The sequence below is a fragment of the Homo sapiens genome, chromosome 15 (genome assembly GCF_000001405.40).
Source record: "Homo sapiens chromosome 15, GRCh38.p14 Primary Assembly".
In the NCBI taxonomy this organism is placed as follows: domain Eukaryota; kingdom Metazoa; phylum Chordata; class Mammalia; order Primates; family Hominidae; genus Homo; species Homo sapiens.
Window position 1 is genome coordinate 86,529,733 of NC_000015.10, and position 26,272 is coordinate 86,556,004.

At 38.9% G+C, this 26,272-nt stretch overlaps 1 protein-coding gene across 5 annotated transcripts in view; it reads left to right on the forward strand.

Annotated features, from left to right (window-relative positions):
- The window catches only part of AGBL1 (AGBL carboxypeptidase 1), a 951,857-nt gene that overhangs the window by 450,113 nt on the left and 475,472 nt on the right, over positions 1 to 26,272 (forward strand). For all 5 annotated transcript variants that reach the window (XM_011521227.4, NM_152336.4, XM_017021919.3 and 2 more), the window contains 2 exons: positions 16,270 to 16,401; positions 24,629 to 24,805. In XM_011521227.4, coding sequence (XP_011519529.1) covers positions 16,270 to 16,401; positions 24,629 to 24,805 — 309 coding nt within the window. The remainder of the gene's footprint in view (positions 1 to 16,269; positions 16,402 to 24,628; positions 24,806 to 26,272) is intronic.

Genomic DNA, 26,272 nt, shown 5'->3' on the forward strand with positions numbered 1-26,272 from the left:
AAGCCCATCAGACTAACAGCGGATCTCTCGGCAGAAACCCTGCAAGCCAGAAGAGACTGGGGGCCAATATTCAACATTCTTAAAGAAAAGAATTTTCAACCCAGAATTTCATATCCAGCCAAACTAAGCTTCATAAGTGAAGGAGAAATAAAATACTTTACAGACAAGCAAATGCTGAGAGATTTTGTCACCACCAGGCCTGCCCTAAAAGAGCTCCTGAAGGAAGTGCTAAACATGGAAAGGAACAACCGGTACCAGCCGCTGCAAAATCATGCCAAAATGTAAAGACCATCGAGACTAGGAAGAAACTGCATCAACTAACGAGCAAAATCACCAGCTAACATCATAATGACAGGATCAAATTCACACATAACAATATCAACTTTAAATGTAAATGGACTAAATTCTCCAATTAAAAGACACAGACTGGCAAGTTGGATAAAGAGTCAAGACCCATCAGTGTGGTGTATTCAGGAAACCCATCTCACGTGCAGAGACACACATAGGCTGAAAATAAAAGGATGGAGGAAGATCTACCAAGCCAATGGAAAACAAAAAAAGGCAGGGGTTGCAATCCTAGTCTCTGATAAAACAGACTTTAAACCAACAAAGATCAAAGGAGACAAAGAAGGCCATTACATAATGGTAAAGGGATCAATTCAACAAGAGGAGCTAACTATCCTAAATATATATGCACCCAATACAGGAGCACCCAGATTCATAAAGCAAGTCCTGAGTGACCTACAAAGAGACTTAGACTCCCACACATTAATAATAGGAGACTTTAACACCCCACTGTCAACATTAGACAGATCAATGAGACAGAAAGTCAACAAGGATACCCAGGAATTGAACTCAGCTCTGCACCAAGCGGACTTAATAGACATCTACAGAACTCTCCACCCCAAATCAACAGAATATACATTCTTCTCAGCACCACACCACACCTATTCCAAAATTGACCACATAGTTGGAAGTAAAGTTCTCCTCAGCAAATGTAAAAGAAGACAAATTATAACAAACTATCTCTCAGACCACAGTGCAATCAAACTAGAACTCAGGATTAAGAATCTCACTCAAAGCCGCTCAACTACATGGAAACTGAACAACCTGCTCCTGAATGACTACTGGGTACATAACGAAATGAAGGCAGAAATAAAGATGTTCTTTGAAACCAACGAGAACAAAGACACAACATACCAGAATCTCTGGGACGCATTCAAAGCAGTGTGTAGAGGGAAATTTATAGCACTCAATGCCCACAAGAGAAAGCAGGAAAGATCCAAAATTGACACCCTAACATCACAATTAAAAGAACTAGAGAAGCAAGAGCAAACACATTCAAAAGCTAGCAGAAGGCAAGAAATAACTAAAATCAGAGCAGAACTGAAGGAAATAGAGACACAAAAAACCCTTCAAAAAATCAATGAATCCAGGAGCTGGTTTTTTGAAAGGATCAACAAAATTGATAGACCGCTAGCAAGACTAATAAAGAAAAAAAGAGAGGAGAATCAAATAGACACAATAAAAAATGATAAAGGGGATATCACCACCAATCCCACAGAAATACAAACTACCATCAGAGAATACTACAAACACCTCTACGCAAATAAACTAGAAAATCTAGAAGAAATGGATACATTCCTCGACACATACACTCTCCCAAGACTAAACCAGGAAGAAGTTGAATCTCTGAATAGACCAATAACAGGAGCTGAAATTGTGGCAATAATCAATAGTTTACCAACCAAAAAGAGTCCAGGACCAGATGGATTCACAGCCGAATTCTACCAGAGGTACAAGGAGGAACTGGTACCATTCCTTCTGAAACTATTCCAATCAATAGAAAAAGAGGGAATCCTCCCTAACTCATTTTATGAGGCCAGCATCATTCTGATACCAAAGCCTGGCAGAGACACAACCAAAAAAGAGAATTTTAGACCAATATCCTTGATGAACATTGATGCAAAAATCCTCAATAAAATACTGGCAAACCGAATCCAGCAGCACATCAAAAAGCTTATCCACCATGATCAAGTGGGCTTCATCCCTGGGATGCAAGGCTGGTTCAATATACGCAAATCAATAAATGTAATCCAGCATATAAACAGAGTCAAAGACAAAAACCACATGATTATCTCAATAGATGCAGAAAAAGCCTTTGACAAAATTCAACAACCCTTCATGCTAAAAACTCTCAATAAATTATGTATTGATGGGACGTATTTCAAAATAATAAGAGCTATCTATGACAAACCCACAGCCAATATCATACTGAATGGGAAAAACTGGAAGCATTCCCTTTGAAAACTGGCACAAGACAGGGATGCCCTCTCTCACCGCTCCTATTCAACATAGTGTTGGAAGTTCTGGCCAGGGCAATCAGGCAGGAGAAGGAAATAAGGGGTATTCAATTAGGAAAAGAGGAAGTCAAATTGTCCCTGTTTGCAGACAACATGATTGTTTATCTAGAAAACCCCATCATCTCAGCCCAAAATCTCCTTAAGCTGATAAGCAACTTCAGCAAAGTCTCAGGATACAAAATCAATGTGCAAAAATCACAAGCATTGTCATACACCAACAACAGACAAACAGAGAGCCAAATCATGAGTGAACTCCCATTCACAATTGCTTCAAAGAGAATAAAATACCTAGGAATCCAACTTACAAGGGATGTGAAGGACCTCTTCAAGGAGAACTACAAACCACTGCTCAAGGAAATAAAAGAGGATACAAACAAATGGAAGAACATTCCATGCTCATGGGTAGGAAGAATCAATATCATGAAAATGGCCATACTGCCCAAGGTAATTTACAGATTCAACGCCATCCCCATCAAGCTACCAATGACTTTCTTCACAGAATTGGAAAAAACTACTTTAAAGTTCATATGGAACCAAAAAAGAGCCCGCATCGCCAAGTCAATCCTAAGCCAAAAGAACAAAGCTGGAGGCATCAGACTACCTGACTTCAAACTATACTACAAGTCTACAGTAACCAAAAGAGCATGGTACTGGTACCAAAACAGAGATATAGATCAATGGAACAGAACAGAGCCCTCAGAAATAACGCCGCTTACCTACAACTATCTGATCTTTGACAAACCTGAGAAAAACAAGCAATGGGGAAAGGATTCCCTATTTAATAAATGGTGCTGGGAAAACTGGCTAGCCATATGTAGAAAGCTGAAACTGGATCCCTTCCTTACACCTTATACAAAAATCAATTCAAGATGGATTAAAGATTTAAACGTTAGACCTAAAACCATAAAAACCCTAGAAGAAAACCTAGGCATTACCATTCAGGACATAGGTGTGGGCAAGGACTTCATGTCCAAAACACCAAAAGCAATGGCAACAAAAGCCAAAATTGACAAATGGGATCTAATTAAACTACAGAGCTTCTGCACAGCAAAAGAAACTACCATCAGAGTGAACAGGCAACCTACAACATGGGAGAAAATTTTCACAACCTACTCATCTGACAAAGGGCTAATATCCAGAATCTACAATGAACTCAAACAAATTTACAAGAAAAAAACAAACAACCCAGTCAAAAAGTGGGCGAAGGACATGAGCAGACACTTCTCAAAAGAAGACATTTATGCAGCCAAAAAATACATGAAAAAATGCTCATCATCACTGGCCATCAGAGAAATGCAAATCAAAACCACTATGAGATACCATCTCACACCAGTTAGAATGGCAATCATTAAAAAGTCAGGAAACAACAGGTGCTGGAGAGGATGTGGAGAAATAGGAACACTTTTACACTGTTGGTGGGACTGTAAACTAGTTCAACCATTGTGGAAGTCAGTGTGGCGATTCCTCAGGGATCTAGAACTAGAAATACCATTGGACCCAGCCATCCCATTACTGGGTATATACCCAAATGACTATAAATCATGCTGCTATAAAGACACATGCACACGTATGTTTATTGTGGCATTATTCACAATAGCAAAGACTTGGAACCAACCCAAATGTCCAACAATGATAGACTGGATTAAGAAAATGTGGCACATATACACCATGGAATACTAGGCAGCCATAAAAAATGATGAGTTCATGTCCTTTGTAGGGACATGGATGAAATTGGAAACCATCATTCTCAGTAAACTATCGCAAGAACAAAAAACCAAACACCGCATATTCTCACTCATAGGTGGGAATTGAACAATGAGATCACATGGTCACAGGAAGGGGAATATCACACTCTGGGGACTGTGGTGGGGTGGGGGGAGGGGGGAGGGGTAGCATTGGGAGATATACCTAATGCTAGATAACGAGTTAGTGGGTGCAGCGCACCAGCATGGCACATGTATACATATGTAACTAACCTGCACAATGTGCACATGTACCCTAAAACTTAAAGTATAATAAAAAAAAAAAAAAAAAAAAAAGATTGTCCTTTTCTTTGAGGAACCCAGATTTTACTTTGGTAGAAAGTAGAGTCAGGTCTACAAGGAAACTGGAGTGGTAGAAAATAGTAAGCACTGTAACAAAGGCCCATGTGAGCTTTGATAGGAACATAGATGAAGGGTTGAGTCATTTTCTCTCAGGGTTATGGAAAAGCCAGAGATTAGAAGTACCATTTGAGCTGGACTTGCATGAAGAAGAGTTTCCCTTGGATTTTATTCTAGTAAGGCTGAGAAATATTCTTTCCTCAAAGAATCTGTAGGCCTATGATCTCTTGAGTCTTCTGCCCTGTGAAATTGAAAGTCCAGGAGTTTTCTGTGCTTGGGGTTACTACACAGGGCAAAGGAAAAGAAGCTTCTCATTTGATGGGTCGCAGAGATTCATTTGATATCACACAGACCTTCTTGTGACTCCATTCCCATTTTCTTTAACCCAGGTTTTCTGTCTCTTTTGTTTGTTAGAGAGTCCAGATGTTAGATACAGAAGCCCAGACACAGCAAAGTTTGGTATATTTATGCACTGGAATATTATTCAGTAACTAAAACCAAAACTAAACCAAAAAATGAACTATGATATAGTCAATAACGTGGGTGAATCTCATAAACATTATATTGAGTGAAAGAAGCTAGACACTAAAGACTACATACTCTATTCTCTATGTGTCTGTTTATGTAAAGTATAAGATCAGTGAAAGTAATTTATGGGGACATAAATTGAACAGTGTTTGCCTCTGAGGAAGAGCATTGAATAGTAGGGGTCAGGAGGGAACTTTATAGGTTAGCAGAGATGTTCAATATCATGATCAGAGTCGGTTACACAAAAACTCATTGAACTATATATTCAGGATCTGCGTTTTTCACTCTAGGTACACATTTACCTAAATGCAGAAAATTAAAATTAAAGCAAAGTCACAGAGATTTAAAATGCAATGAGGAGACAAAGGGGGCTCCCTTAAATGAAGCTGACTAGCATACAGGCATGTGAGCCAAGGAAAACAGTTTTCCCAGGAAAGAGCAGAAAGGTTGTAGAAGAAGGTCTGTTTAGAAGTCAGAAAGATCCAGCCAGAGAGGCGGCCTATAAGCAGAGAAGCCCAAAGAAGCGGACAAGCTCTACAATCAGCTAGCAGAAGGCATTGAACCAGTTTCCCTTTGTGGAGCTCCCTCTAAAAGCCAAGAGGCTCATGGCCAAGGAGGCAGATGAGGACAGTCGGGGACATCCCTGGGACTGGAAGAAAGTTCTTAGGCTACTACAGCAAGCTCCTGGGGAGCCAGGTGGACAGCCTCTTCTGAGCTGCCATATTGCAGCTGGCCTGGCCCCTGTGCTGTTCAAGTAATTGGGGCTTCAGAAATGGGAATGGGATCGATTCCTATCCTCTTGGCTCTCACTATGTGAGTGCATTTTGGTAAAGGGATTTCAGTCCTCTTTGAAGAGCGCATCAATTTCTGTTTATAACTCACACAAACTGAGCTGCCTTCTGCCAGAGGACAGGGTGGGCATATTGTAGTTTTGTCTTTCTCTGGGGCCCAGTGGAATAGAATTTTTAGCTACTTAAATGATTTTTCTGGTTTTATTTTGTCCCTCTGGCATATGTTTTGGGTTAATCAGCTTCTTTTAAAAGAAGCACAAAAGGAGATGAAAAAAAGGATGGCGTATTCCTTTCTATAACCCTTGTCGCCAAGGGCCTCAAGATATTTTATACACATGAATTGTTTTATTTCCACTTTATTCCTTAGCAGTAGCAGAAGAATAAGTGTTATTTTTGCTTATTTTCATAACTCGTGTTAAGGTACCACATCTAGAATTTCCCTTTTTTTACATTTGAGGATATGGTAGGAAAAGAACAAACACTCCTGTTCCATAGTCAGGAAGGACAGAATACCCATAAAGGTCCTGAATTAAAAATATTTCAGTTTGCTTCCATATTCTTTTATTTGGAATTGTTCCCATGCTATCAGAATGAAGGTTAAACAAGGCTTCTTTACCATACCAGAAACCAAGTTTTGTGTATATTTTTACTGACACAAAAAAACTACATTTAATTGAATTGCTTCAGTTTCTTGATAAATTTTAGTGAAAAGCAAAGGGCATTTTTTCTCTTGCTCTCAACAGTGTCTTCAATGTAGTTTCTGTGTAACACAAGAGCTGAAAATCTGGGATATTCTTTTTTGTTTGTTTTTTTGAGATGGGGTCTCGATCTGTCACCAGGCTGGAGTGCAGCGGTGCAATCTCAGTTCACTGCAATTTCTGCCTCCCGGGTTCAAGCAATTCTCCTGCCTCAGCTTCCTGAGTAGCTGGGACTGCAGGCACGTGCCACCACACCTGGCTAATTTTTGTATTTTTAGTAGAAACGGGGTTTCACCATGTTGGCTAGGATGGTCTCTATCTCTTGACCTCATGATCTGCCCGCCTCGGCCTCCCAAAGTGTTGGGATTACAGGCATGAGCCACTGTGCCTGGTCAAAAATCTGGGATGTTCTTAGAGGGAGGGCAAGTCAGAATTTTCAAAGAAGTCTAAACAAATTTCTTATGTTTTATTTGTTGTGGAATGGAATGAAATGAGGAGATGGAGGGGAGGGGAAAATAGGAGGGTAACCGCTTAGAAAGCATTCCTCTTCAGCCTTTGTGAAGGTCCCTCTGCCCAGAGCTAGTGGAAATAGGTGAAAGCAAGAAATACATAGAGATGGGGCCACAGGGACTAATTTTGCCATAAGGCTGCTCTCCGTGAAGGCCAGAAGTGAAAACAGAGGCTTCCGATGAAGACACGGAAGAGACTTGTGCATGTCTGAAGAAAACTAATCTGGTAAACACAGCAAGGTAGCAATGATCGTGGCCAAGGGCATTGGGCGTAGGGCTTAAAGTTCTCATCGCAGACAGTGAGGGTTGCCCAGAGCAAAGCACAGTCCATCCTTGGGGGCCAAGGCAATCAACAGTTCTCAGTTAGGAAAGCAACTCAGAAACAGAGGCAAAAGCCAAGGGCAAATCTCTTTACAGGGACTGAGTAGGCATGGTGATAGGTCAGTATTCAGTCCCCAGCCTACCCCAAGGGTTTAGCCAGACAATATAGAAGCCTTGTTATAGGTCAAAAAGACTAGTCTGAATCCCACATTATGGTGAAGACAGAGGTCCCAATAACCATCTGCTCTGATTGGGCTTGGTACACCAAATAGATTAATGCTTCTACCTCGAGAACTTCAGTACCTGCAACTGAGCGAGACAGATGGCAAAGGCCTCTCAGGCTGATAGGTTGCAGGGATTGTGTAGAAAGGTGACATCCAGGCTACTGCTTCTCTCCCTTCAATGTCTGAAACTGGGGAAAGGGAACAGATTTAACTCTTGAGGAATCTTCCCAGGAACTCACTGCATAAGTGCCTTCTCAGGGCATTAGGCTTACCACTCATGGAGGGATGGCTGGCCAGAGATGGAGAGTGGAAAAACGCAAGACCACTCACTTTCAAATACGCGAATTGAGAGTTTTGTTATATTGTTCTTCATCACTCGTCCATCAAATGTTTTAAAATGTCGTGTTTGGAAAACTTTTAGAACCACACTGATTAGAGTTTGAGATATCACACATCACTTTCTAATGGGTCCATCTGCAAGTTGCTTAACCTCCTTTAACTTTAGAAGAAATTGAACCTCATCTCTATATTTGGATAACATCCTCCTTTAGGACTTCTTATACTGATTATAGAGGAGTGTAAAATCTCAGCATGGTGACCGACACATATCTGGCATTCAAATAAATAATAGACGTTAAAATCATTACTTACTAGAAGGGCATTAGATACAAAACAAAGCCACATATTAGATTGTATGTTTTTGGGTTGATTTACAGGCGCTCTTTCATTGTAACTGAAATATTTTGGAAAGAACATTATAATACATGCTGCTGAGGTGAGATGGCCAAAAACGTCCTTCAGCATAAAGGGTCCCACTGTGGGCAGTCTCATGAGCAGTTGGTTATTGATACATTCTATTGAGTTTAATGTGAAATTTTTCTCCCCAAAGTGGCCATTGGAGGGGTCCAAGACTGATCTGTAAGTAAAGGCTGCTTTTCTAAGGCCATGTTGAAACTTTGGCCCATGATGACCCAATTTAAGTGAAAGTCTGAGTCTCTCGCTTTGGGAAAGGAAACAGAGCATAAAATCCCTTTCAGGTGGTTTTAGGAATAAATTCTGCATGTGCCTAATGTGGTTAACCTCAGCTAGGACTGGATGTTGCTGATGACTCAGATGAAGCACTTACTAAGGAGAGAGTATGGCTATCAATAAAAAGACTAGGAAATGTGGTCTTGCAAATTGGCCTCTTGGAAGGTAGCTGAACGTGTCACCAATATCATTTCCCTCAAAGAGATGTTAACTCCATTTAGGAACTTGGGCTGAATGCCATCTGCACAATATTGTGCACAAGCTGGAACCTCCAGGGCTTTAGTTAGCCTCAGTTGGTTTAATTGGACACATTGCTGTTTTGGGTTTCCATCATATTCTCAAATATATCTCCTCTAGGCTTCAGCCTTGCCTTCATTTTCCTGTGACAATGGTATAAATAATGCAAATGTCTTGATACTGGGAAGCAGGAATGAGACCCAGATGTCAGAATGGAAAGCACAGCAGTTTACATTGGCAAAGCAGAGCGGTAAACACAATCAGGAATAGGTGAGCCCTGGGGAAAAGGGGAACGGCTAAGGGAGAGGTGTTTGAGAGGGAGAGGGTAACCTCTTGAACAAGGGGGACCTATTAACTTGCAGAGGAACTAGAATGGGACCAAGGAGGAAGGAGATGAGGAAGGCATGTGAGAAGCATGGCAATCTGGTCCTCATCAGCTTCTTTGCGGAGCAAGAAATCATGGAACTCATGTTTGCATGAACTAAATTAACCTTGCAATTTAGCTCAGACAAGAATGCATTGGAAAAGGTCCTAGGAAGATGCATAATCCAATCCATACCTTCCTGATGAAGAAACTGAGGCACAGAGAGGGGAATTGGTTTAGTCAAAGGCCCAAAGTTCAAAACTAAACACTCCAGCTCAAAGGAAACTAGATGAAACTACACAAAGTCTTCAATTCTGCATTTCTTCCTATGTTCCTTGCCTTTGCGGAAAGGCACAATCATTGCCTGTTTACTTAATCTGGAAATCAAGGAGTTATTCCTAACCTCTTCCTTTCTTAGCCTCTAAATCCATTGTCTCTAACTCCTGTAGATTTTACTTCTTTACTCTCACAAAACTTCTTTTCTTTATATACTTATATCTGGTGCCTTAAGCTAGGCCCTTCTCATCTCACTTGCCTAGTCTCAGTCCCTCCCATCTTAACACTTCTGTTCTTCGTTCTAATGATCTGATCATCTTGCTCCTTCTTGCTTAGTTTAAAGGCTCCTTCACCACCTTCAAGAAAATGTCTCAACATTCTAGAATGATGTACAAGTGCATTAACGATCTGACCACTGCCCACTTCTATAGATACCTAATTTATTCTCCTTTCACTCTACCCTCTTATTCCAAATTATTGTTAATACCTCAAATCTACAGATCCTTCTTGCTGTTTTGTCATTTGCTTGGATAGCTCTCACTCAGTAAGGTTCATCTTATGTATAACCTCCCTTGAGAATCCCAGAAGCACCACATAGCACACTTCCAAGGTGCTGCTCCCTTGGAGTGCAATGTGAATGCTGCCCCCTGGAAGTGTGCAACTGTTCTTATTGGGTTCCCAGAGAACGCTGCTTATCTCTACTTCAGCTCTTCTCTTATGGTAATACAATGACCTCTTGGCTTGTGGTATAATATCAACAAATCAGCTTCTGGATGGGGTAATATAGAAATGAAAAGTGTTTTAAAACATTGTCTCTGGGTTAGGGCAAACTGGGGCTCCAATATTTATTCACACAATAACAATACAAACTTGGGCAAGTTACTTATTTTATCTGGAATTTAGTGTTCTCGGCCACAAAATGAGCATAATAATAGCACCTACTTCACCATGGGATAATCTAGATTAAATTTTTAGCATGCTATCTAGAGTCTTCAATAAATTAACTATTGTTGCTATTATTATTGTTACGGAGAGCAGTGCTGTGTTATATTAAAATTTTAACTTCTCCTATTACGTAGCAGTTACCCAGTAAATATTTGTTGAATCAATTGATAAACAACAAGATAGGGCTATTGAGGTGGGGAGCGGTGGCTCACACCTGTAATCCTAGCACTTTGGGAGGACAAGGCAGGCAGATTGCCTGAGCTCAGGAGTTTGAGACCAGCCTGAGCAACATGGCAAAATGCTGTCTCTACTAAAAACACAAAAAGTTAGCTGAGCGTGGTGGCAGGCACCTGCAGTCCTGGCTACTCGGAAGGCTGAGCCACGAGAATTGCTTGAACCTGGGACATGGAGGTTGCAGTGAGCTGAGATTGGGCCATTGCACTCCAGTCTGAGTGAGACTCTGTCTTAAAAAAAAATAGGGCTATTGATTAACCTGTAAATATTGTATTGGGAACAGTTTCTGCTTACCTGTTAAAGAATTGTACTGAAAAGAAGTATAAGTATTAAATCTTATGGTAGAAAAGAAAAAGCTTCCTTAACTTAAATAATTGGATAATTGCCTTGTAATTGCACCCTGCAATTTGAAGAAACACATGTTTCTTAGAATTAACAGGCATTTGTTTTCAGGGATATCGTTTGAGAAACAAGCAGAACAATGTCTCCTTCTCCTTCACTCTGAATCTTCTGTGGCTACTAGAACTCACCATGTTTATTCCTGCAGGTGAATGGCTCTATAATTTGTCGTTTACTTCCTTTTTCAGAGTCTGTAAGGATCAGGGAAGGAAGAAAAGCTATTTTCTCCAGTTGAATTTAGTATTTAAGGAGTGCCTATCACCAAGGAGGCATAGCTTCTGGCTTTATTGAGAAATCTGTTGCTAAGACACAGTTTTAATTTGTTTGCACACTTTTCATAAGAATGGTGAGTGTTTATTCACAGAGAGAAACTAAGATGTAAGAGGTAAAAGTTGGTGGAAAATTAGTGATAGTAGAGGATTAAACCTCAAACAATTATTTTATTTGTTCCTTTAGACTAGAGGCTTTGAAAGTAAGGTCCTGGGGCTGGGGCATGAGCATCACCCGGAAACTTGCCAGAAATGCAAATTCTTGGGCTCAACCCAGACCTACTTGAATCACAGAATTGCCAGGGTGTGGCTCAGCAGTCTGCTTTAACAAGACCTCCAGGTTATTCTGATGCTTATTAATATTTGAGACCCATCCTGGGCAACAGAGGGATATCCTGTCTCTACAAAAGTATTTTAAAAATTAGCCACGTATGGTGTCGCTTGCCTGTAGTCCTAGCTACTTTGGAGGCTGAGGCAGGAAGATAACCTGAGCCCAGGATCTCGAAGGTTGCAGTGAGCCATGATTGCACCACTGCATTCTCAGCCTGGGTGAAAGAGTGAGACTATGTCTCAAAAAAAAAAAAAAAAAAAAAAAAGAGAGAGAGAGAGAGAGACCCACTGCTCTAAAGTCTAGAATAGGACATCATGCAAATCATGCAAGCCTCACGTATTAGTAGCAATAGTAACTGAGGAGACTAGCTTTCCCCTGCTGGAAAATTCTGTAATAACATCACCTGGAACAGATGCCTCTAGAGACTGAGCCAATTTTTTTCAAGACCCACAACAACTACCTCATGTTGCCTCCTGATCTCCTAACTAGAATCAAATATCAGCATGATCCTAGAAGATAAGTACATGCTGTTACCCAAAAAGAAATAGCTTGCACACAAAAGAATTACAAGATTTGATAATATATATCATTAGAAACGTGGGCAACATGTGTGGGAGTATTCTAATAAGGGCAGAAATTCACTAGATTTGGCTGACTTCATTGACATGAGTATACAATCTAGAGGTTCTAAATTTAATGTGTTAGCTTGCGCAGCTGGAAGTGGATCTAACAGCTTAATTGGGTGGTTGAATGAATGTTGTGCTCAACAATAGTCTACATTTAGTAAGGTCAAGATTCCAGAGCTTTGCTGGCATAATGTAGGGGAGAGTATGCAAAGTCTCTAGGAGATAGAAATGTATACTGAGTTTATCCTGTTTATGAGAGGGCTCAGAAGACACTCCCTCCATGAAGCAATGAGAAATACAGTAGTGTCTTCATCCTTGACAAACTCTGTAGTTGTTCTCCTTTGAAGGCCAGGTTTGTAGGGGATGCCACCATTGAGATTTTTTTTTTTTTTTTTTTTTTTTTTTGAGACAGAGTTTTGTTCTTTTTGACCAGGCTGGAGTGCAATGGCACGATCTCGGCTCACTGCAACCTCCACCTCCCAGGTTCAAGCAATTCTCCTGCCTCAGCCTCCTAAGTAGCTGGGATTACAGGCGCATGCCACCATGCCTGGCCAATTTTTTGTATTTTTAGTAGAGACAGGGTTTCACCATGTTGGCCAGGCTGGTCTCGAACTCCTGACCTCAGGTGATCTACCTGGCTCGGCCTCCCAAAGTGCTGGGATTTCCAGGAGTGAGCCACTGCGCCTGGCGAGATGGGGTCTTTGATTTTATGGAGATTATGCAATCCTAGAGTACAGAGGCCAAGTGGTAGCACTTAACCACCAAAGACAGGAGGGATACATCAACCATCGTATCTCGCTTTATCCCAGATAATTCTTCTTGTTCTGATGTCTACTTTATCTGATAATTAATATAGCTACTCTAGCATTCTTTTGTTTTGTATTTGCATACTATATTTTACATCCTTTTACTTTCAACCTATCTGTGTCTTTTTATTTAAAATGAACTTCGTGTAGGCAGAATATATTTGATCTTTCTTATTTATCCAAACTGATACTCTTTACCTTTTAATTAGTGTGTTTTGACCATTTACAATAAGTAAGATTATTGATATGTTTGGGTTGAAATCTACCATTTTGCTGTTTTCTATTTTTTCATGTGTTCTTAGAGCTTCCTATCTTTTCTGCTTTCTCTTTTATTCATTGAGCATTTTTATGATCCCAATTTATCTCCACATTTGAATTATTATTCATGCCCCTTAAAAGTAATTTAGTGTTTGCCCTATTGTTTACAATATCTATCTTTAATTAATTAGAGTCTACCTTGAGATAACATACTGCTTCCTCTCTACTACAAGGACCTTATGACAGTATATAACCGTTTATTTTCTCACATTTTATAATACGATTGTGATACATTTACTTTTACATATGCTATAAACATGCAGTATATTGCTACTATTTTTCTTTAGACTGTCAGTTGTGTTTTAGAGAAATTAAAGTCAAGAAAAAAAGAAAAATATATTCTTTTACTGTCGTGTGTTTCATTTCCATTCTTTTAATGTTTTGATTCAAAGAGACTGTGACTTTTTCAGACCAAAATGATCTTTGGACCCCAAACTTCTACATCAGGAACTGGAGAAGTTAGAGGCTTTGCCTTAAAGTAGGCAATATTGTTCAATGCCCTTTTCATGCATGGCCAAGAAAGATACAGGAAAAATAAGTACCTCACAAGGAAAGAGTAAATATCTGTAGAAAAAATAATACTGGACAACTAATGACAGGGAGCAGAACCAGGGTCTAATCAACCAACTGGCCCTACCCAAAGGATACAGGCATCTCACAATGCCTGGATGAAAGCATTACAGAATTGTTATGAACCAGCAACTGCTATATCCATCTTATTCATCTCCTTTGAAACATGAGTGTTACTGGGGATATTATTTCCTCATTCAACCATTGTAGGTAGATGAACAGAAAACAGGTGGCTTGCCTTTTTCTTCATAGATAAGGAGAAGGCATACACAGGATATAGAAACTATAATGGAATTTTGGGCTGAGACTGATACTGTAATGGAATGGGCTCTTTAAGTGTATTTTCCTTGGAGAATAGGTGAGTGTATTTTGTATGTGGAAGGGAGGGAAACAAATATTTAGACTAGGAGGAGAGATTATTCTAACACTTAGCTTTTGTTGTATAATAAACCACAGCAAAACTTAGTGGCTTAAACAAAAGCTATGCATTATGATTCCTCTGCTCTGACCCAGGTTGGCTAGGACTGGATGGTCTAAGTTAGATTCATTCACATACCTGGTGGTTGGCTTGATATCAGCTAGGTCAATCGGGATGACTTTGCAGAGAGTCTCATCATCCAGCAGCCCAGCCTATGTTTACTCACGTGATGGTTGTTGCAAGGTTCCTGGGAACAGCAAGACAGCAAACCCCTTAATATGCCTCAGCTTGCATCATATTTGCTCAGTCTTATTGACCAAAAGATGCTACATAGCTGTATTAGTCTGTTCTTATGCTGCTAATAAAGACATACGTGAGACTAGGTAATTTGTAAAGGAAAGAGGTTTAATTGGCTCACAGTTCCACATGGCTGGGGAGGCCTCACGATCATGGTGGAGGGCAAATGAGGGGCAAAGTCACATCTTACATGGCAGCAGGCAAGAGAAGGAATACAGGGGAATTCCCCTTTATAAAACCATCAGGTCTCATGACACTTATTCGCTATCAGGAGAACAGCATGGCAAAGACCTACCCCCATGATTTAATTGCTTCCACCTGGACCCACCCTTGACATGTGGAGATTATTACAATTCAAGGTGAGATTTGGGTGGGAACACAGCCAAACCATATCAATGGCTAAGTGCATATTCCAGAGGTGAAGAAATGTACTCTACCTATTGATGAAGATGAAACATAGTCTACTGCAAAGGGTCATGCATACAAGAATAGAAAAAAAGTTGTGGTCTTTTTTAGATTTTATTATTTTTCTCCATTATTAGCATCTCTCCTTATAATAAGATTTTGCATCACTGCCCTTGTCATATGATTTGCAGAACCTCCCTTTAGGAGGAACGTACTTACCTACACCACTGATAAAATTGGTTATGTGACTTTCTTTGACCAGTGGACTTTGAGCAGATATGACGTTTGCCACGCTTCAGTAGAAGCTTTAATGGCCATTACCTGATTCTACCTTTGACAGTTTTTCCCCTCTACCACAAGAGTAGCATGTTTCAAATTAGGGCTTCTTTAGCCTGGATCCTAGAATGAAGAAAACATGCAGAGCAGAGTCATAGCCGATCTCTAGTATGAATGAAAAATAATCCTTTGTTTGATAAGCCATTGTGTTTTGATGGTCATTCTTTTCCACATTGGAGCCTAGAGAAAAATTAGAGTGATTGATTAGCTTCTGTTTTTGTATATTTCACCAATTCCCTTTTGAAGGATCTTTCCTATTGACTTTTATTTTAATTTTTTTTAACCTTCAAGTTCAGGGGTACAAGTACAGATTTGTTGCACAGGTAAACTTGTGTCATGGAGCTTTGTTGTACAGACTGTTTCCTCACCCCGGTATTAAGCCTAGTACCCATTAGTTATTTTTCCTTATCCTCTCCCTTCTCCCACTCTCCACACTCTGAAATGCCCCAGCGTGTGTGTTTTTCTCCTCTGTGTGTCCATGTGTTCTCATCAAATTGTTTAAAATACTCATAGATATCTTAAAATGCCCTTGTTCCTATTTTCTTTTCCAGCTTTGCCCATTCCTCCTACCCAGTCACAAGTAAATTTATCAAAAGAGCTATACATGACTTGCGTTTCTTCGTATTCTATTCACTCCTAAGACCCTTAAAGTCTACATTCTCCTCTGATAACTCCATCGATACAATCAATGCCACTCTTGCCAAAGACACCAGTGATCCGCACATGGCTGGTCTGCTAACTCAACAGCATCCGAGAAAGTTGACATTGTAAACTTTCTTTGAGCCATGGAACATGAGTAGATACGATTTAAGTGGATTTAAGAAACCAATGACCTGACCTGGTTTTATTTTCTCCTTTGTTGGGCTATTGTAGGTTTTCTGTGACTTCCATGGCCACTCCCAAAAGAAGAATGTGTTCCTTTATGGCTGTAGCATCAAGGAAACCTTGTGGCAAGCAGCATGCACTGTGGGCACATCTACTATCCTAGAGGAGGTCAACTACAGGGTAAGCCGCTGTGGGGAATGACATCAGACATGCTGTGTTCATATTCTTCATTCTTACCTTTAAGACCATGCCCCACTCATTTATTTAGTTTTTTTTTTTTTTTGTAAATAAGCATTTTAATTATTCTAACCATAGGATTGTAATACAAGCAGGCTGGAAGCATGTGTAACCTCTCCTAATTTTTGTTGAATAATGACTTACTGACTTGTTGCTTTGCCCCTGTTTTCTATGTGGTTTGATATTGTATAAAAGGCATGAGAACTAGAGACAGAAGACCTCATCTTAATACCTGGCTTTACAATTATTCGATTATTAACTGTGTGATTATGAGGTCATTAACATTACCTCTCTGAACCACCCTTCTGCCATCTGTAAAATGAGGATAGTAAAAATACTGCCTCTGTTACATAGCTTATGGAAGGAACACAATGATACTGAATACAAAAGGACTTCAAATAAATAGGAAGGGATGAATAAACATAAGCCATTAAACCATCTACATCTCTCTGCATGAGAATTCTATAAAAAGCAGATCAGTAATCCACTGACCCTAATTCTATTTTACTTTAGTTTTAGTGGTTAGAGCTCAACTGTTCCTCCATGAAACCACATAGGAAATTAGGGAGGGGTAAAGAAGGGAGTACTTCTTCCCATCAGGATAAAGGCAACAAGCTATTGCATAATGAGAATCAGGAAGAAGCAAAGTTGCCCAAACACTAAATGAAAACTGGTCTTTGTTTAAAATTTCTGTAGAAAAAGTAGAAAATTATGATGGTGTCTGCCTCTACTGTTATTCTGGGTATGCAATTTACTATGTGCAAAATAGCTTCATCCCCAGGGTTAATGATAGTATTAAGAGGTAAAAATCCACCAAGTCACCATTTCACCTGGAAATACATCCCCTCTTCTCTAGCCTTCTTCACTCAGTCCATCAAAAATAGACTGCCGCTGATCAATACAACCACCCCAAGGCTTTTATAGCAGAATCAACAGCTTATCCTCAATAACCTGTTTGCTGTAAGGCTCAACCAGAGTAATGGTGATAAACCATAAGAAGCTTAATAACTTAATCTTATTTAGGAAACTAGTTTAGTAAATTAAAGCATTCATCTGGGCAGCTCCTGTGGACCCAACCCATATAAAATGATCTCTTATATGTGATACATCTTGAATCAAAAAAATCTACCATGGTCCAATCTTAAATATAGAGTCAGCATGTTTTTTACTTCTCTTTTTCCAAGGGAAGGTAATAATATTAATAGATAATTCCCTATACACAGGAAAAGGTATAAGACACAGAACCTTTAAAAAGTCTCCTGTACGAAGCTGACATGAAATGGGGCAGAGGTCAGACATTGTAGGGAATGATAGGATGGGTTCTTATCAACTGTATTTTAATTTTTGTGAATAATTCATACTGTTTAATTAATAAATTCAAAACACATTTTGAGGCCCAGATTAGTGTCAGTTAAGGTAAAAGGCATAACATTATAGAGACAGGTATGCCAGTTTCTGCCTATGAGAATAAGGACAGTGGTATTTAATAGCAATGCTGTTAAAAAGATTAATCCATCTAGACATTAATGCTCACCTATAAGGTTCTTTAACTGTGAGTGGGTCAGTTGTCTGAGCCTCACTTTTCTCCCTTGTGAAATTAGGAAGTTAAATTTTCTACATAGTTTATTACATCAAGTTTGTTGGTGCCCTGGGATTCCTTAAAGGTGATTCATGGGCTACTATGACATATGTGGAGGTAGTGAAGTGAATATGGTTTGGTCACATCCCTGGCTTTCAACCCAAACAGCTTTGCTTTTTGGGGTCCCACATAGTATATAACTCCCTCTATCACTGACACTCTAAATTAGGACATAATGATCTGTAAATAATTATCTTAACACTGGTGATCTGCCTAAAAAGACTTTTGTGTATACAAATGGATCTTGTCAGAATTGAAAGGACCCACTCATTTTACAGATGGGAAAATTGAGACTCAGGGGAGAATGTCTTGGTAAGATAGGTTAATGTTATCATCATGATATCTACCAGCAGTCAAGAGTCTGTTGATGCTTAGAGGCTGATTCCTTCATTACCATCAAAAGTGGAACAATTCTAAACATGTTAAACTTATCTAAGACTTTATTTGGTCATTTACCATTAGTATTGAAGAGACGATTATACACCCTGTTATATTTCACATCCACTCTGCAACATTTATTCAGTTTTATTAATCAACTTTAATGGTACTACTTCTAGTTATGTTGGTATAAAGAGGTCAGTGAATCCTCTCTGCAAAACGCAGTATAAAATAGAAGAAAATTTTGAAAAGCAGCCCTTTTAGGACTCTGTAAATTGACCAAATACAGATGATAAATTGAGAAGCATTTATTCTTGAAAATTGCTGGAACTTCATGTAAGAACAGCAGGGGTCTGTAACCTTCTTGACTGGGGCTGCTCCTGACACCACTCTATGTGGTCATCAAGAAATGCAGTTTTACCAACAGAAGGATAGCCACACACACACACATGCACGCACACACACACACACACACACACACACACACACAGCCAGAAATTTACAAGGGAGACCTTAGAAATGAGAGAGCCACAGAAAAGCTAAGATAGGCTCTCTATAAATACATGGTGTATTAAGCCATTCTTGCATTGCTGAGACTGGATAAATTATAAAGAAAAGAGGTTTAATTGGCTCATGGTTATGCAGGCTGTTCGGGAAGCATAATGTTGGCATCTGCTTCTGGGGAGGCCTCAGAAAGCTTCCAATCGTGGTAGAAGGTGAAGGGGGAGCAGGCACTTCACATGGTGAGAACAGAGCCAGGAAAAGAGTCAGGGGGAGGTGTCACACACTTTTAAACTACTAGATCTCATGAGAATTCACTCATTATTGCAACGACAGCACCAAGAAGATGATGCAAAACCATTCATGGGAAATCCACTCCTGTAATCCAGTCACCTCCTACCAGGCCCCACCTCTAACACTGGGAGTTACATTTCATCATGAGATTTTGGTGGGGACATGTATCTAAACTATATCGTATGGATTATGGAAAAATATATGTCTCTAGAGGAGACCCAAGAGGGCCCAGTGAGAAAGAAAGTCCAAAGAGACTTAAGAACTGCCACAATTTTGAATGTCTTCCCAAATCACATACAAATCAATCAACAGAGAGTGGAAGTCTTATGCACTCAAGATATTTGAGCACTACATTTGCCCAAATTATTGTATAACCACTAGGCCAAGCAGCCACAGATGTCAAGCTAAATAATTTAAATAAGAATGTAGAAACTGTGTAGAGACATCAGTGGCACACATTGCAGAAGAAAAAAGAAAGAAATATTCTGCAGATTAATCCAGGAAAGTAGTTAAAAATTTAAAAACATTTAAAAAATAGAATCCAGAGATGCTAAAAAAAAAGTATAATCTATGATGTCCAGTTTGCAACCAAAAACTACAATTTTGTGAAGAATCAAGAATGTGAAATCCACGCTCAGGAAACAAAGCAGTCAGTAGAAACAAGAGTGGGCCAACATGTTGGATTCATAATTATTTCCAAGCAACTGTTAAAATATGTTCAAATAATTAAAGAAAATTATGTTCAAAAGTTAATGGCAAAATATGATGACCATTACTCAATATATATGGAAATTTGATGGATAATTAGAACAGAAAGAAGGAAGGAAGGAAGGTAGGAAAGAGGACAGGAGAGGAGGGGAGGGGAAGGGTGGGGAGGGGAGTGGAGGGAGGGAGGGAGGGAGGAAGGAAGGAAGGAAGGAAGGAGATAGTGTTGATGAGTATCATAACCAACATGAAAAATTCACTAGGTGGGATTGTCAGCAGATTTGAGATGGCAAGATAGTAGAGAATGAATCAGTAATTTGATGATTAACCCCAAATTATTCAATTCAAAGAACAGAGAAAACAAGATTAAAGAAAAGTAAACAGCTGTAGAGACCTATAGGATAGCATAAAGCATATCAACCAACATGTAATGGGAGGCCCAAAAAGAGAGGAAAATAAATGTCTGAAAAAATATTTGAAGATATAATGAGAGAAGAAGATAGTATAGGAGGAACAAAACATATATGAGACATATAGAATCAAACAACAAAATGGCAAATGTAAATCCAAAAATATCAATGATGTCATTAAATATGAACGAACAAACCCTCATTCCAAAGGCAGAGGTTGTAAGACCAGATTTAAAAAATAGGTTCAAGTATATATTGTCTATAAATGACATGCTTTTGATTCAATAATGCAAACAGCTTAAAAGTTAAAAGATGGGAAAAGATACACCATGCAAATGGTAACCATAATAAAGATGGTTATATTGACATAAGACAAAATATACATTAAAAGGAGAAATATTACTAGAGCTAAGGGTGCAATTCATAATACTGAAACAAATTGTTAATCAGCAAGGTGTAACAATTATAAATGTATGTGAATATATATACTCTGACATACAAGAAGAAAAAGTTGAAAGAAGGCATTTAAAATTTAATAATAATAGCTGAATATTTTAGTAGTCTTCTCTCAGTATGTGATAGAATAACCAAAAAGAAAATTAGTATGGAGAACACCTGACTTAACTTACATATAGCAGTTCTTTTCAAAACAAAAGAATGTATATTCTTTTTGAGTGCACATCAAAATTTCTCCAGCATAGATCTTATAATAGGCTATTAAATAAATATCAATATATCTTAAGGGACTGAAACCATGCACAGAATATTCACCTACTCAAGAGAATTAAATTATAAATTAACTTTCATAAGAAATCTGGGATATCTCTGATTATTTGGAAATTAAACAATTTGTATCAAATTAACTTATGGATCAAAGAGGAAATCCAATGGGTAATTAGAAAATATCTTTAAGTGAATAAAAATTAAAACTCAATATGTGAAAATTTATAGTATGCAGCAAAAATAGTACACAGAAGGAACTTTGTAATTTATAATATTTAGAAATGCAGAAAGATCTAAAATCAAGAATCTAAGCATCCACATTCAGAAACAAGAAAAATAAGTGCAAATAAATCCCAAAGTATAAGAAAGAACAAAATAAAAGCCAAAGTTAGATCAATGAAATAAAAATCATATGAACAATAGAGAATCCATAAAGAACATGCTTTTCATTCAATAATTCATAATTTGATTTCTTAAAACGGTCAACAAAATGATCATTATTTAGCTAGACAAAGAAAAGAAAGAAGATACAAGTTACCAAAATTGGGATTGAAAGAAGGGGCATCACTACAGATCTTACAAAGTAAAAATGAATATCATTAACAACTTTATGCCAACAAGTGAATACATTCTTAGGAGAACACAGACTACCAAAACTGACTCAAGGACACATGGACAATCTGATGAGGTTTATTTTAAGTGGAAAGAAGAATTAGTAATTAAAACTCTTCCCACAAATGGAAGTCTAGGCCCAAATGGCTTTGTTGATACATTCTATCAAACTCTTAAGAACAAAATAGTGCTAATTATAAAAACATCCTTTCAGAAAATAGAGGAGAAACACTTGCCAACTCATTTTATGAGGTCTGTGTTATCCTGATACCAAAGCCAAAATGAGGGCATCACAAGAAAAGACAGCTACAGCCCAATATTTGTTATAAACAGACAATAGTATTATTCAGTGCTGAAAAGGAATGAGCTATCAAGCCATGAAGAGACACGGAAGAACCTTAAATGGATATTACTAAGTTAAAGAAAACAACCTGAAAAGGCTACATACTGTATTTCCAGCTGTATGACATTCTGGAGAAAGCAAAACCATGGAGACTAAAAAGATCGGGGTTGCCAGGAGTTTGGAAGGAAGGAAGGAAAAATAGGTGGAACACAGGGGATTCTTAGGGCAGTAAAACTACTTTGGATAATACTGTAATATTGAGTACACATCATTATACATTTTTTCAAACCCATAAGATGTACAACACCAAAAGTGAAGAGAATCCTCATGTAAACTATAGACTTTGAGTGATGATGTTTCTATGTAGGTTCAGCAGTTACAACAAACCTACCACTCTGGTGAGGGATGTCAATGTTGAGGGAGTCCATGCATGTACAGGAGTGGGGGGCATATGGGAAATCCCTGCATCTTCCTTCTCAGTTTCGCTGTGGACCTAAAACTGCTTTAAATAAAGCCTTTTTATTTTTTTTAAAAAAGAGAGAGATAGAACCTATGGAAGAAAAAAATGGTTTCACTTAAGTAAAAAAGGAAAAGTCACTTAAACAATGTAAGAGTAAACTTTTGCGACATGGTATGCCAATGTTAAGTTAAAGCTATTTGCCAGTATTATTGATCACTTTAGTTGCAGGATATGGAAACAATATATTTATGTCTATTTGACCAGCCCCCCAGGGGTCTGGACTAGCAGATTCTATTTATTTTAGCAAATAATTATGTAGTAACCTCTATGAGCAACATACTGCTCGATGTGTAGGGATTTTCCTGTGAATAAGACACAGACCTGCCCTCATGGAACTTCTAGGCTTCTGGGGAGATAGAAAACAAACAACTAATACATACACAATAATTCAGTTGTAATTGTAATGAGCACTTTGAAGGAACAAATAGATGGAGGGATTATAGGAAGGGAGGGACAAGAGTGGATAAGATGAAATCAGTTAGGAGGCAATTGTAGACACTCAAGTGAAGATAACATTAGCATTCTATTTCCCTTTTTTAGATGATTGTAAGTCTGGAGGCTATGTAGGAATTTAGAGATCATAGTGAATTATATTAATTATGCTAATATATTTATATAATATGTAATTTATAAGATGATTAATAATTATAATTAACAGTTACATTTAACATGAGGACAGTAAGTACCAGAGAGAGTAAGAGATTTGCTCAATGTTCTAGAAATTAACAAAACTGCATCTCTTTAAAAACAATTCTTTCATTTGTATTCTCATTAACTTGTTATGCTTCTCTACTTTCTCCCTGTAATTTGTCTAAAAGCCTAAGGCTTCACTATTGTCTAATGTATGTAATTTTATACTATGTGTTATTTATGCATATTCTGCCAACACTAAAATGAGAGAATCCTTCTTGTTAATGTCATAAAAGTTCTGGGACTAATCGCAGTATTTCTGCTGACTCAGAACTGTGTATACTATCAACTCTGAGTCATTGTCCTCTGGGGAGGAGGTCTAGTGGCTGGAAGATCCCTTTCTGTCAATCAGGGTGTCAAGTGTCTAGAGATGCCTTCTAAATGGAGATTAAGTAGTCATAAATAAAATATTTTTACCCCAAGAAAAGGTGGAACATATGAACCCAGAGAGGATGGATTTTCAGGAGTTTCATATTGATCAAGCCTCAGATTTTTGGCTTAGAAGATGAGACGAAAAAGATCATTCTGGCAATTATATACTCTTAGGAAAGAAGTGAACTATATGTGCTTCTTCTCTAGAATCATCACTGGCCCCTTTGGCCTTGTGAAATAAGTGAACAGTCCCTAGTCTGACCCTGCTAAGTAACAGTGAGGCTGGATGTAGTCTGTAAATTTCAAGTCCCTTTGAAATCTGAGGATTTCCGTAGTCTCAACTCTTTCATGTATGAGGCCAAATGTATGTGTGCAGCCTTGGTCCATAGCAATACAGGAATTGAAAGATTATGGAGTTGGCCAGGTTGGCATTTGGATTCCTTTCTAGCAACTTTATGGTTTTCTGGACTTCAGCTATTTATTTCTAACTTTTTTTTTTTTGATATGCTGTCTCACTCTGTCTCCCAGGCTGGAGTGCAGTGGCGCAATCTCAGCACACTGCAACCTCCATCATCTGGGTTCAAGAGATTCTCCTACCTCAGCCTCCTGAGTAGCTGGGATTACAGGTGCCTGCCACCACATCCAGCTAATTTTTGTATTTTTAGTAAGACGGGGTTTCACCATGACGGCTAGGCTGGTTTTGAACTCCCGCCCTCAGGTGATCCACCTGCCTCAACCTCCCAAAGTGCTGAGATTACAGGCATGAGCCACCGCTCCTGGCCTATTTCTACCTTTTCTAAGCCTGTTTCCTCATCTGCAAAATGATTTTTAAAAAGTGATAGCCATTTCTTAGGGTTAATAAATGATTTAAAGTAACGAGTATTTTATATATAGATGCTTAACAATGTTGAGAAGCTATTTTTATGATGACTATCCCTAGTCACCCACAACTAATCATCGTTTGATTTTTGTTTTTACTGTAGACTCTTCCCAAAATCCTTGATAAGCTAGCACCAGCATTCACAATGAGCAGCTGCAGCTTTCTCGTGGAGAAATCTCGAGCTTCCACGGCCCGGGTGGTGGTGTGGAGAGAGATGGGGGTGTCCAGAAGCTACACCATGGAAAGCAGCTACTGTGGCTGCAACCAGGGCCCTTATCAGGTATGTGAGGCTGCAGGACACCCATACTTTCTGTCCAGCAACAATACATAGAAATTATAGACAGCTCGTACCTGCTTTCTCACCTAAAAGGGGAAGAAGGCTCCAAGTAGAGTTTGGTCCTCCCTTGCCTTGAAAAACGGGTTCAACAATTGCTTTCACCTGCAGGATCATCTATCTTGATCCTGGAAGCAATGCGTGCATGCTTTCCAATTTGGTTCCTCAATCAGCTGCCCTCACTAGCAAGCAGCTGGGAGCCTCTCTTTGACATGCATCCCCAACTTTTACAGAACCTCTGCTTGCCTGGCTCTGTTGTTATATGCATAAAATTCTTGCCTTCTGCAACAAGTGGACTAGTTCTATGTACATCATAAAGGGCATAGGTCAGTGTGTAGATATTGTTGGTACATATATCTATTGTGTTTCCATCTTCTGCGTCAATCTAAATCTGTAGTTCTCTTTGTTATCCTGCTGTCTCCAGAGCACACAAAAGTGTGTGCATGGCGTGGGTCTCCCAGAATGAGTGGGTTTTGGACTCATATGCTAGTGTTGAGAGAAAGTGCTCTTGTATAAATCACATTCTTTCTACAGCTATATTAACTGCATGAGCAGCTGGATAGCTGCTACAGCAGGCTGTTCTGGCTGCTTTTCCCACTCCCCCATAGAGAAGCATAAATAAAGGACATTTTGACAGTGCCAGGGTAATAGACTCTTGTAAATTTCTTAGGCAAGCTGACAGACTGCTCCTCGGTGACTTCCATTCAACCCTAAGAATACCTGGACCTCCCCAGCATTAAGCTCATTGTGTTGGCTTTGATAGTCTCCTGGAACAGCTAGGAAGCACTTGGCATCTATGCAATCCTGAGCTTGTAGAAATCTGTTAGTTACCAAAGAGAGTACAGGGTGTGACAGGCAATGCACATTATCTAACTTCTCATGTAGTCGAAGATTTTTTTTAACTCAGAGCTACCGAACCACCCTTTTGACTATTAATTCTGTCAAATAGCCACTTAGTCTAAAGACTTGTTTCAAATAATTGTTTTGTTACTGAATTAATAAATTCTTAGACTGAATTAATCCTATTCACCCACATTAATGTAAAAGAAGAATAAGAAGAGCTGAAATCATTGGATGAGTCTGAGATTGGGCATCAAGAGATCTCACTCTTTCACTTACCAGCAGTGTTGAAAGCTACTTACTTCTAGGAACCTATTTTTTTTCATATGTCAAATGCAGATTTTAATAAGGACTCCTTTTATCCTACCGTACAAGGTTTTGTAGGGACTAAAAGAAAACATATATGTGAATATACTTGGAGGTTATATAATCAGAAATCTGTTCACTCCCTTGTCATTCAAAACGTATAAGATTGGAAAAAAAAAGCTTTAAATATTGTGACTTTAAGGCCTTATGGACATAGGTTTGTGTCTCTCTCTGTACATGTGTCTTGATGGGAAGGGGCTTGTCATT